Source organism: Homo sapiens, chromosome 2, assembly GCF_000001405.40.
Source record: "Homo sapiens chromosome 2, GRCh38.p14 Primary Assembly".
NCBI lineage: Eukaryota > Metazoa > Chordata > Mammalia > Primates > Hominidae > Homo > Homo sapiens.
In genome coordinates, this window is record NC_000002.12 from 37216261 (window position 1) to 37229889 (window position 13629).

The following is a 13629-nucleotide window of genomic DNA, read 5'->3' on the forward strand; positions in this document are numbered from 1 at the left end:
TTGTTTATTATGTATTAAAAATGAAAGCCAAATAATTCACTAAATAGAAGCATACCTTTGCCTTTATGGGGCTTTGGATTTCGGTATACAAATCGATCCAAAAATCTCATTAGAGTGAAATCCTGCAGTGGGTCCCCTGAATACTGAATATAGTTTCCCTGAAAAGTGGAGCGGGGATTTAAAAACTTAATTCAAATTATGTCTATGAATCCAAGTAAGAAAAAGGAAGAAAAAGATAATTTCTATTACACTGTATTGAAGATACAAATATGCAATAAATGACTCTTCAAATATCTCTCTCATGCACATTATACTTAAAAAATTAAACACACAGATACATATACATACATATTCTAGGATGTAATGTTGATTTGATGGATAGACTAATATTAATAATGCAGGCCATCTAACCATTAATCAGGAACCAAACCCTGAAGTGGCAAACACAGCAAATGGGAAAGTGAGGCAGTATTTCTCCAGGAGAGGAGCTAGAAGGTAATAAATAAATAACTGCGTGGCTTTCAATGTCTTATTGCTTCCACTCATCTCAGAGTGGGAAAAGTTATCTGCTACTCTGTATGAAACAAGTCACTGCTTCTTTATACGAGCAGTAAAATGTACAAGATTCTCTCTGTTAGAGAAAACACTGTATGACCAATTATTGATTATCTAAAATGATACTTTTTTTCTTATTTCTCATCTTTGGATTTATTTTAGACTCACCTGAAGGATGGTCTTTGCAAAAAGGGCCACGGAGGGATGAAAATGCACAGATAACTAAAAAGAAAAATGTGAATAATATCAATATTTCTAAGGTCGACTCTTAGTACATTTATAGCTTATTTAAGAAAATCGGGCTGGGTGTGGTGGCTCACACCTGTAATTCCAGCACTTTGGGAGGCTCAGGCAGGCAGATTGCTTGAGCCCAGAAGTTGAGACTGGCCTGGGCAATATGGCGAAACCCCATGTCTACAAAAAGTACAAAAATAGTCAGGGTGTGATGGTGCGCGCGTGCCTGTACTCCCAGCTACTCAGGAGGCTAAAGTGGGAGGACTGCCTGGGCCCAGGAGGTCGAGGCTGCAGTGAGCTGACATGGCACCACTGCACTCCAGCCTGGGTGACAGAGTGAGACCCTATTTCAACAACAACAAAAATGAAAATGCAAAAATTTGAAATTTAAGCCAATACATTAAAAAAGTGATTCTCAAAACATATTGGTCTCAGGACCATTTCCTACACTTAAAAACCAAAAATTCCATCAGTTTCTATTCAACAGGTTTATATCTACAGACACCTATGTTATAAAAATAAACAGAAAAATTGTAAATACTTATAGGTCCATTAAAAATAACAATAAAGCGGCCAGGCGCGGTGGCTCATGCCTGTAATCCCAGCACCTTGGGAGGCTGAGGTGGGCGGATCACGAGGTCAGGAGATCGAGACCATCCTGGCTAACATGGTGAAACCCCATCTCTACTAAAAATACAAAAAATTAGCCGGGCGTGGTGGCGGGTGCCTGTAGTCCCAGCTACTCGGGAGGCTGAGGCAGGAGAATGGTGTGAACCTGGGAGGCGGAACTTGGAGTGAGCCGAGATCGCGCCACTGCACTCTGGCCTAGGCAACAGAGCAAGACTCTGTCTCAAAAAAAAAAAACAAAAAACAAAAACAAAAACCATAAAGCTACTACATACTAGTAAGTAGCATATTTATGAAAAATAATTATGCAGCCAGGCGAGGTGGCTCATGCCTGTAATCCCAGCATTTTGGGAGGCCGAGGCGGGCGGATCACGAGGTCAGGAGATCGAGACCATCCTGGCTAACACGGTGAAACCCCGTCTCTACTAAAAATACAAAAAATTAGCCAGGCGTGGCGGTGTGCGCCTGTAGTCTCAGCTACTCGGGAGGCTGAGGCAGGAGGATGGTGTGAACCCGGGAGGCGGAGCTTGCAGTGAGCTGAGATCGCACCACCGCACTCCAGCCTGGGCGACAGAGCAAGACTCTGCCTCAAAAAAAAAAAGAAAAAAGAAAAAAAGAAAAATAATTATGCTTCAGGACGAAATATATAGCGAGTAGTATTACTTTACAGTTTTGCAAATCTCTTTAATGTCTGGCTTAACAGAAGAGAGTGGATTATTTCATCTGCTTCTGTATTCCACGTTGAAACATACAATCTGGCCTCATGTGTAGAAAATAGTCTTTCACATAGCTGTGAATTTTCTTCTTTAGTACTATACCAAAACCAAAGATTAGTTGTAATATGGAATCTGAAACCCATATTCAATTGGCTTTTGGTACTTGCTACTTAAAATTATTTGGTCTACTTTGAATCAATCATTTATTCACTCAAGAATTTGTAACATTCAGGTGGCACAGTGGCTCATGCCTGTAATCCCAGCACTTTGGGAGGCTGAGGTAGGTGGATCACCTGAAGTCAGGAGTTCGAGACCAGCCTGGACAACATGGCAAAACACTGTCTGTGCTAAAAATAAAAAAATTAGCTGGGCATGGTGGCATGCTCCTGTAATCCCAGCTACTCAGGAGGTAGAGGTTGCAGTGAGCCGAGATCGCGCCACTGCATTCCAGTATGGGTGACAGAACCTTCTCGTTTCAAAAAAAAGAATTTGTAACATTGTGCATTGGTCATTGGAAAAATACCATATGCAGTCCTTCCAAACACTGGCACATTTCGTTATACTTTACCACAACAATCACATTGTTAGAACCACTGATTTCATCAGAAAAGTTTTACAAATTGAGAAACTGTCAAGCTCAAGGTGGTGGTTACAAGATTTTTAAAACTTTAATCTTTGCTCGAAAGCTTTATTTTTGAATTTTATTGCTGACAACAAATACTGCCAGCTTTTTTGTTTCATTCATTTTCAAGAAAATATCTCCCAAATACCTAAGCCTGAATAACCAGTTTGTCAGTCTTTCATGAAAGAGCAGCTAGATGAGCTTGCAACAACTGGTAAGCACTTGTCCTTGAGACACGTGACAACCTTCATGCTTTAGGTAGGCAGCACAGGTATGTTACGCATACTTGCTATGTATGCACACGAAATACTAAAAAGACATGTTACTTTAAGGTCAAGACACTAAAATCAGTAATTCTCCCTGTGTCATCATTCTTAAGTCATACTGGCTTTTTTTTTTTTAACTGCACATATGTGGCAGTGATGAATATAATGGCTTCTGATGCAGCTTGGTGCTGTCTTTATTCAGGATAAGCTGCAGCAGTTTTACCTATCATTTCTTTTATAGTATCAGTGCCACCGTCAACACAGTGATGAAAACAAATAATGTACTGGTATTACTATGGAAAGAGCTGTGACCTGGCCGACTCACTAAAAAGGTATCAGGAACTCTTAGTGGTCTGGCCGCACTTTGAGAATAGCTGCATAAGATACTTACTGGCTTTACACAAAAAGTCACAGAAAGGTTATTAAAAATATGAATTCCTCTTACAAATTCAGAAAAGTAACTTTACTTGCAAAAAATTTTATCATAAAACTTTTCAGAGGTATCTAATAAATAAAGCAAAATTTATCCATTTTCTCAACTCTATATGCAATAATCTACCTACAAAAAGCAACAGTCATAACCCATGCATGACATCCTTATTTTACGTGCACACTTAAGATTTTCTACAAAATGAACACTTCACATAGTATCTTCCCCCAAATGTGGACTTTTAATGTTTATTAATGCTTATAATTATCATAAAAAAACAAAAACTTCAAGGCATTACATCCTCAAGGGCAAAAATATACAGCATAGGCCGGGCGCAGTGGCTCATGCCTGTAATCCCAGCACTTTGGGAGGCTGAGGCAGGCGGATCACAAGGTCAGGAGATCAAGACCATCCTGGCCAACATGGTGAAACCCCGTCTCTACTAAAAATACAAAAATTAGCTGGGCGTGGTGGTGGGCGCCTGTAATCCCAGCTACTTGGGAGGCTGAGCCAGGAGAATGGCTTGAACCCGGAAGGCGGACGTTACAGTGAGCCACAATCATGCCACTGCACTCCAGCCTGGTGACAGAGGAAGACTCTGTCTCAAAAAAAAAAAAAATATATATATATATATATAGCATAAATGAATAAAAGACAATTTGAAATTATTTTACCTTTTTGAGTTCCCAAAGACTTGTATTTTCAGCTCCACAGAACAGAGGGTTTCTACTGAATGGATCGTATTTATTTAACTGTTTCCCACCTAGGAATAACAAAAAAAATACGATTTCTCAAATGCTTTCTTCCTAGCCCAAGAGGTCATTAAAAGCACCACCATTAATATTCTCAACAGATATCTCCAACATTCTTACTTAGCCAAGCAACCTAGATTAAAAACTCTGAGCTCCCTCAAGAATTTGTCTTGGTACTTAAGCTAGCATCTGCTCTTGAATAAAGCAGAGAACATGTTTATCCCAAACACCAAAAGCTTTCTTCAAGGCCAGGTGCAGTGGCTCACACCTGTAATCACAGCACTTAGGGAGGCTGAGGCGAGTGGATCATTTGAGTTCAGGAGTTCGAGACCAGCCTGGGCAAAATGGTGAAACCCCATCTCTTACAAAAAATACAACAAAAAAACTAGCCAGGTGTGGTGGTGTGTGCCTGTAGTCCCAGCTATTCGGGAGACTGAGGTGGGAGGATCACTTGAGCCCAGGAGATGGGAGTTGCAGTGAACCAAGATCGTGCCATTGTGATCCAGCCTTCCTGACAGAGCAAGACCCTGACTCAAAAATAAGTAAGTAAAAGCTCCCTTCAAAACTTCTCCTTTGGCTGGGCACAATGGCTCATGCCTATAATCCCAGCACTTTGGGAGGCCAAGGTGGAAAGGCTGCTTGAGACCAAGAGCTCGAGACCAGCCGGTGCACAGAGTGGGATTTCGTCTCTACAAAAAACACAACTAGCCATACCTGGTGGCACGAGCCTGTAGTCCCGGCTACCTGGGAGGCTGAGGTGGGAGGATCGCTTGAGTTCAGGAGTTTGAGGCTGCAGTGAGCCATAATGGCCCACTGTACTCCAGCCTGGCCTGGGTGACATAGTGAGACCCTGTCTCAAAAAAAACAAAAACCAAACCAAAAAACCCCAAACTTCTCCCTTTCCTAAATGGCAACAAAAGGTGCCCATTTTGGGGCCAAAGAGGTGGAAACGTTAAGATGGAAATAATCTGAAGATGAACTAGGTCTAAAGTCTTTTGGAGCTTTAGAGTGCTTCAAATATTTGTCATGAAAGTATGCCCAGAAATAATTCTCACTTGGAACAGGTCTGACATTATCTTCATGTTTTTAGAAACTCAGGATTAAAAAAATTTAAAACAAAGATTTTTCAGAACAAACTAGGAACTGACTACCTTCCAACACACAAGCTCTTCATCCTTCTAAAGGATTATTCTCAGTTTAGTCTTCAGGGGAACTGATGGATTCTTCTCAAACTTTTCTGGCAGCTATCAGACTTCTCTTTTGTACTTCACAAACTGAAATTTGTAGATGAATTAATTTGACTGTGAGTCCCAAAGCAAGCTGAAGAAATGGGTCTGGCACCACATTTCTCGAACCTCAAGGCTGGTGTTTTCTTCACAGCCTCAAATGAAGGGGCTGCATTTCTAAGATTTTTTTTTGACTCTAACATTCTATTAATAGACTTTTAATTTAGTTTGGTGTGTGTATAGAAAACCACTTAACGTTTCTATCTTGAACAGAAAGTTTTCTATCCCTAAAACATTACTTTAAGAAACTGTGGGCCAGGTACAGTGGCTCACGCCTGTAATCCCAGCACTTTGGGAGGCTGAGGCAGGCAGATCACCTGAGGTCAGGAGTTTGAGACCAGCCTGGCGAACATGGTGAAACTCCACCTCTACTAAAAATACAAAAATTAGCCAGGTGTGGTGGCACATGCCTGTAATCCCAGCTACTTGGGAGGTTGAGGCAGGAGAATCACTTGAACCTGGGAGGCGGAGGTTGCAGTGAGCCGAGATCACGCCTCTGCATTCCAGCCTGGGCAACAGAGTGAGACTCTGTCTAAATAAATAAATAAGTAAATAAAATGGTAGAATGCTATTTTCTATGAAAATCAAAGAGAAACAAACTCCCTAGAGAATAAAGATGAAAAAAACTCACCTTTCAAATTATCAAAGTGCACCCAGGAAGCAACCTCTGGTTTTTTGGTTTCTACATCAGTTTCAGGAACTGTTTCCTCTGTCTCAAGTTTTTTCACTATCTCTGTTTCTTTGTCTGCATCAGTGAATTTTTCCATGTCTTCATCATCATTTGCATCAATAAAATTTTCTTCATCATCAGACTCCTAACAAAAGTATAGTTTCATAAATCTACATAAATCAACTGGAAGTTGCAATAAAGTCTGTGCTCCATTATGTGATGCAGAGTTTTACTTATTGCAACTCTGGTGAAACGTGAAAGTTCTAATAAAGTAAAATGATGGCTATCAATGGTATTTAAACAAGAGAGGAGATTACATCCTTATTTCTAAACATAACACAGTTAAGTTTTGAGCTAAGAACCCCTGAGCCTTAAGGACTCTAATACTTGAAAACAATTAGCCCTCAAGTAAATTTCTGACTTGTAAATAACCCTATGAGGTAGGTACTATTATTTCCATTTCATTGTTAAGGAAGAAGACTTAAGAGGTCTACTAAGTTTTATAGTCTTCCAAATCTCATATAATGGTAGCTTCTAGTATAGTACAGTTTATTGCAAGTAGAAGAGTTGAGCAACATGCCCACCTAGTAAACTGTACAGCTGGTACTAAAATCTAGGTTTGTCCTATTCCAGAACTCACACTCATATGCTCCAGAGAACTAGGTTACTGTCATTTGAAGCAAAGAAAAACAAAACAAAAACCAATATATTTCAGCACCCACTCAATTTAAAAAGCAGTTGTAAAATATACCGGATGATCATCTAGTTGGCTTCTTAAACCTGGTTTTGCTTTAAGGATCTCAGACACAAGATATAAAGCTCCACATATAAATGGTGGCATCTGTTGACAAGTAACTTGAAGTAACCTCTTCACAAAAGCCTTCACCCGGCGCAACACAATGTCAGCTTTCAGAGATTTGTAGACAAGGTTAAGAAACATAGCTTGCTTGGAACACGTCATCAACCCTGGATCCAACATCTTCCTGCAAAACAAAACCAAGGTCAAATATTTATGTATAAAACCATCTCCACAACCAATGGTCACATATTAGAAATAGCTACTAACCTCATCTTAGTTAGGGATAACTTTGCTGCTTATTTTAGAACAAGAGACCCTGCCCTAAGAGGTAAGATGGAAGTCAATGACCAGAAAAGGATGATGATGGCACCAGGAAAAACCAACAGCAACAGACACAGGAATAGGCATTTTTGAGTGTGTGGTTTTCTTGTCTTTTCCAAGTGTTTTTCTGTTTTCTATATCAACAGGGCACAGCCCTAACAGTATTTACAGAACCCCACCAGAAAAGCTAATCTAAAACCAGATAGTGAAAACTGACCCATGAAAGCAGAACATTAGAAGATTTGGGTTTTTGTCCTTGTATAACTACCTACTAGCAGGGGGACCAGAGGCCGCCTCTTCATGATTTTAGTGAAGACCATCGATGAACAGCAGAAAATTAAATTCTAAGGACTTCAGAGAATCTCTAGTCCAATGTACTAGCTGTGTAACATTCCTCTCATACACGCTATTTTCACTGCCCAGAGTGCTTCTCTCCAACTCTCTGCATGTCCACAGTATCCAAAATTGGTTCTTCTATTAGTCTCTCAGTCCCATGTTTGTGTTCTTCATAGTTTCACAAACTTGATTTTCCTGCCTTTCCCTCTTCTCTAAAGGTCCAATGAAATAGGGATTATGCCTGTTATTCACTGTTGTAACCCCAGTGCCTGGCAGTTAATACCTTTACATGACAGTTTTCCAAATACTTGAACCTATTTAGCTATTATGTGCTTGTCTCTCCCTAATGTCTGTCTTCTGTAGGCTGCTCTACTTTGATCTCATGATACTTTAAAAATTCTCTATCCTAGGTGCTGAATCCTACACATGTCCCCAACCGGTCTAGACCTGCAGATATTAGGACACCCAGAATTAACACAATCCTCCAGATTAGCTCTATTAACACCTGGAATCATTACTTCCTTTGTTTTAAGCATTTCCATTAATTTTTTCCTACTAACACTAGAAATGAAAAATACTTAAGCTTGTGAAGCACTTTCCTATTGCTCTGAATACTCTGGGAAATATCACCCTTTTGGTAATATTCTGGGATATTCTGGATTATTCAATTTTCTCTCTTTACATTTAAATTTTCCCTCTTTACATTTAAATTTTCCAACATTTCCATCCATTTTGCAATTTATTATTAGGCATAAATTACATCTCACATCAACAGAAACATCTGAGAAGAATTTAGAGACATGTCTCTATCATTTCATGAAATATTTTCCTAATGTTTTGATAAATATTTTTGTAAACCAAATCATGTCATTTCTTTTATCCCTCAATTAACTAGGGGTTTTCTTAATGTGAAGGATTCCTAATAAAACCAAGAGCAAACAAACACTTTAAGAAGGCCTAAAGGCCTGTTAAGAAACTCCATCTGTGAGCGCTTTTGGCAAATAGTAATTTCAAAAACTTAAAAATCCACCCTTCCTCAGAGATGTTAGACTATGATGTTAAATAGAGACAGAAAAATGTTTTCTAATAGATTTCAAACACTTTCTAAAAATCAAAAATTCCTATGACCATCAAAAGTTCAAAATAATGAAACCACCCCCCTTCAAAACAAACAAACAAACAAACAAACAAACAAACTAACAAAAACAAAACTCAAGATCCCGAAACCTCTACATTTTCAGCCTTGGAACTCTTTTCAAATTAACAGTGTTAAGTTATCTATTACTTCAAAGAGTTGTGGAAAGGCTTCTGAGTCTTTTTAGTGGACCAGAGCAATCAGTGCTATGAAATGTCATGAAATCTACAGCAAGTGGACCTGGACTTGCCACCTAACTTGGTCTCTTAATATCTGTGTGACCTTGCCCAAATTATTGTATCTCACAGTGTGGGGAAAAGGAAGAGAGATCAGATTGTTACTGTGTCTGTGTAGAAAGAAGTAGACATAGGAGACTCCATTTTGTTATGTACTAAGAAAAATTCTTCTGCCTTGAGATTCTGTTAATCTATAACCTTACCCCCAACCCCGTGCTCTCTGAAACATGTGCTGTGTCCACTCAGAGTTGAATGGATTAAGGGCGGTGCAAGATGTGCTTTGTTAAACAGATGCTTGAAGGCAGCATGCTCCTTAAGAGTCATCACCACTCCCTAATCTCAAGTACCCAGGGACACAAAAACTGCGGAAGGCCGCAGGGACCTCTGCCTAGGAAAGCCAGGTATTGTCCAAGGTTTCTCCCCATGTGATAGTCTGAAATATGGCCTCGTGGGAAGGGAAAGACCTGACCGTCCCCCAGCCCGACACCCGTAAAGGGTCTGTGCTGAGGAGGATTAGTAAAAGAGGAAGGAATGCCTCTTGCAGTTGAGACAAGAGGAAGGCATCTGTCTCCTGCCTGTCCCTGGGCAATGGAATGTCTCGGTATAAAACCCGATTGTATGCTCCATCTACTGAGATAGGGAAAAACCGCCTTAGGGCTGGAGGTGGGACCTGTGGGCAGCAATACTGCTTTGTAAAGCATTGAGATGTTTATGTGTATGCATATCTAAAAGCACAGCACTTAATCCTTTACATTGTCTATGATGCAAAGACCTTTGTTCACGTGTTTGTCTGCTGACCCTCTCCCCACAATTGTCTTGTGACCCTGACACATCCCCCTCTTCGAGAAACACCGACAGATGATCAATAAATACTAAGGGAACTCAGAGGCTGGCGGGATCCTCCATATGCTGAACGCTGGTTCCCCGGTTCCCCTTATTTCTTTCTCTATACTTTGTCTCTGTGTCTTTTTCTTTTCCAAATCTCTCGTCCCACCTTACGAGAAACACCCACAGGTGTGTAGGGGCAACCCACCCCTACATCACAGACTGGAGAGCTGTTAAGAGGATTAAACTAAAGAAACATGGATGACTATCAGTAATAAGGATAGCCGCCAACATTTCACATAGCACTAAGTGTTAGGCACTGTTAAGCACTTAATATACATAGAAAGATTACATGGGTTAACACACATAACCTCCCAACCTTCATTAAAGCCCCAGTTCTGTCATTTACAAGCTGTAGAACCTTGTGCAAGTTTCAAAATCTTCATAATAATCATATGAGATAGCTGCTTTTCTCTCCATCCTACAGACAAATCCACTTAAGCATGATAACATGGGATGAATTATGTCTACCAATAGGTTTTTAGTGGGGATCAAGTAATTTGCCCAAAATTACACAGAAAACTAATGGCAGGGACTCAAACCCAGGCGGCGTGGCTTAAGTCTAAGATACGAACCACTACTCCACATTTTCTCACAAGATATATCTATGTAAAAATATAAAAATGAATCAGAAGGAAATATATTAATTTCTTGAACACAGTTGCTATGTTCGACTGTCTCTTAAACAGCTCCAAACTGTTTACACATTGCTGAAAATATGATGCCTCAATGGGTGAGTTGCAAAATTCAGTAAAGAAAATCTTCATCTCCATTAAAAAACAACAACAAAAAAAACCCTGCACCCTGCATCCCCCAAAACTCTCTACTTAACATACTTTGTTTACCACCGCTCCCCTCTCTGCCACCTCCTCCAATATGAATGTGAGCGCCTCCAGGGGTGGGATTTCTGTTCGCTGTGCCTCCTGTGCACCTAGAGCATGGCACCATACTGCAGGCACTCAGAAAATACTTGTTGAATGAGTTACTGTGTGAATGCATTCAACTGTGTGAAAGACAGCAGGGAAAAGATAGAGGACTGAGGAGAATGGGAAGACGGAAACTGCAATTATATCTGCAATTTTATTTCTTTAATATCCCAAAAGATTTAAAACAAATATAGCAAAATGTTAATTCTGAAATACTAGGTGGTAGATATGAATGAATCTTTTGGGTATTTTTCTGTATTTTACAACCTCTCAAAATGAAAAATGTATTCAAAGCATCTAATATAATTTGTGCCCATCAGGGAAACAAAGATTAAGTGACTTACTTGAAGGTGGCGAGTAGCAAGCTGCTGAGGGGGCCTAAAACCAAATTTTCTAACTCTTTTTCTTGCCCCACAGAGGGCACTGCTTGTGCTGTACTACATCAAGTTATTATTTCATGTCTCATATTGGAAGGGTATGTTCTTACCTGTATAATGCTGTGTAATATCGATCCGATATTGTCTGCTGAGAATTCATTACTTGGAAAAGCAACATTAAAGCCTGGACACTGGTATTAAAATTCACAATATGCAACACTTTAAACAGTGTGTCAATCTGCTCCCTTACTTTGTCATCACCAGTCTGGGAATAAGGGTATGCCCTATTCACACCTGTTAAAAGGGCGCTAAGCATTTTTGATTCAACATCTTTTTTTTTGACACAAGTCCGAAAAAAGCAAAAGTAAACAGTTATTAATTTGTTAGCCAATTCACTTTCTTCATGGGACAGAGCCATTTGATTTAAAAAGCAAATTGCATAATATTGAGCTTTGGAGCTGATATTTGAGCGGAAGAGTAGCCTTTCTACTTCACCAGACACAACTCCTTTCATATTGGGATGTTTACAAAGTAATGTCTCTAACAGATGGGATGCTTTTGTGGCAATTCTGTTCTGAGGATCTCCCAGTTTATTTACCACTTGCACAAGAAGAGCCTTTTCTTCCTCAGGCTTGTTACAAAGCAGCTCATGAGCCACGGTAAGGGCTCGAGTTTTAGTGGTTACTAATGTATCATGACTTAAAGTTTCTAAGACCTGCACAAATTCAGCCACTAAGTGTTTCAGCTGGTGTTCAAAATACCATAATATCAGTCTTCTATCTCTTGAGTCCTTGTTGCCACTGGACAACTGTTCCAGTTTGTCAAAAGGACGCTGGCTGAAAATCCTCAGCTTCCGATTGTCTGGCAAAAGGTCTGTGATAAGCAACTCTTTGAAAGTATCCAAGGCCATAAGGCACTGCTGTTTGCTGCCCTTCTTTTTAACAAGGTTCACAAGAGTTTCTACAAACTGAAGTGTGTGAACGGCATCATCCTGAATAAGAAGAATCATGGCTGCCATCCTGTCACCTAGTGTCCCCGATGACACAATTGCCTTCATCCAGGTAGAAGAGGCTCCCTTTTGACTATTCGTCTTACTTTTGAATAAGTTGATTTCATGCTGATACAGCTTCTGAGCAAGGGTTTTGTACTTAGATACAACATCCTGAGGCTGGGGTTTCAAAGAATATTCATTGCTGTACTCCAGATCATACCATTTGCCTCCAGGCCTAAGTAACAAAGTCTGTCTCTCAAAAAATTCAAAGATGTTCTGTTTATCTTTCTTTACTTTCGGTGTGGTACTGCCATTCTCATCAGAATGTGGTTCTGGCCTATTCTTATTTTTCACCTTATTAACTGATGTCCTTTGACTTTCTGCTGTATTTTTATTATTTATTTTAGGTATTTTTACTTCTTTTTTGCTGGAATTTTCTTTTTCAGCTGGTTCATCTTCTTCAACTAAGGAAGCTTTTGTATACTTCGCCAAATTAAGATTTTGAATAAATGCTTCCAATTCACCTTGCTGAAGGTCATCGATTGCTCCTTTTTTGCCTCCATCTATCACTTCCTCATTCTCATCCAAAGTAGCCAGCATAAGGTAATCTTGCTGCATTAAAAACATAAGTTAAAAATACATTACAAATGTGAAAAATAAAACCATAAAATAATAGGAAACACAACATAATTTTAAAAATAATTTCGGAACTGGAAAAATCCTTTCAAATTTGACATAAAACTCAGGGTCCACAAAGGAAAGGATAAGTAAATTTCTCTTTCTCTCTCTTTCTTTTACACACACACACACGCACACACACTTTTTATTTCGATATAGGAAAAAAATATAAATTATAAACTGGAAAAAAAATACAAGCAATTCCTATCAAAGTAATTGGGTTTAATCCCTTAATATAAGTTTCTACACATCAGTAAGTGACAACCCAAAAGAAAAATGTGCAAAGGACATGAACAGTTCATAGAAAAAAAGGGTTCTTTAAGAATATGAAAAGATGTTCAACCTCACTGAGGTTTAGACAAATCCACATTAAAACCACAATGATACATCCATCTTTTAATTTATCAGATGAGCAAAGATACACTGCAAGATGAGCAAGATACAATGACAGGTGATGCTGGGGAAGGGGTGGCGGAAACGGCACTTTCATACATGGTTGATGTGAGTGTAAACTGACACAACCTCCATGGAGGACAATTTGTCAACTCCAATCACAACTATTTAATACAAGGCACACATCTGTTGGCCCAGCAGCTTCATTTCTAAAAATTAACTAACTGATTGAGACATGGTCTCGCTCTGTTGTCCAGGCTTGAGTACAGTGGCATGACCATGGCTGAACTGCAGCCTCAACCTCCCAGGCTGAAGTGATCCTCCAACCTCAGCCTGTAGCTGGCACTACACGCCCAGCTATTTAAAAAAAAAATTTTTTTTTGAGATGAGGTCT

General features: G+C 39.6%; 1 protein-coding gene across 1 annotated transcript in view, besides 1 other annotated feature; it reads right to left on the reverse strand.

Annotated features, from left to right (window-relative positions):
- CEBPZ (CCAAT enhancer binding protein zeta) overlaps nt 1–13629 on the reverse strand; it is a 29985-nt gene that overhangs the window by 14649 nt on the left and 1707 nt on the right. Inside the window, exons 2-7 of the mRNA NM_005760.3 lie at nt 11284–12776; nt 6910–7141; nt 6120–6303; nt 4125–4213; nt 724–777; nt 56–158 (exon numbers count right to left, since the gene is read on the reverse strand). Coding sequence (NP_005751.2) covers nt 56–158; nt 724–777; nt 4125–4213; nt 6120–6303; nt 6910–7141; nt 11284–12776 — 2155 coding nt within the window. The remainder of the gene's footprint in view (nt 1–55; nt 159–723; nt 778–4124; nt 4214–6119; nt 6304–6909; nt 7142–11283; nt 12777–13629) is intronic.
- Nucleotides 9619–10223: an enhancer, noted in NCBI's record as "OCT4-NANOG-H3K27ac hESC enhancer chr2:37453022-37453626 (GRCh37/hg19 assembly coordinates)". NCBI's record gives its function as "activates a minimal SCP1, AML or CMV promoter by ChIP-STARR-seq in naive H9 embryonic stem cells {active_cell/tissue: H9 hESC(naive)}" and the evidence as "EXISTENCE:reporter gene assay evidence [ECO:0000049][PMID:30033119]".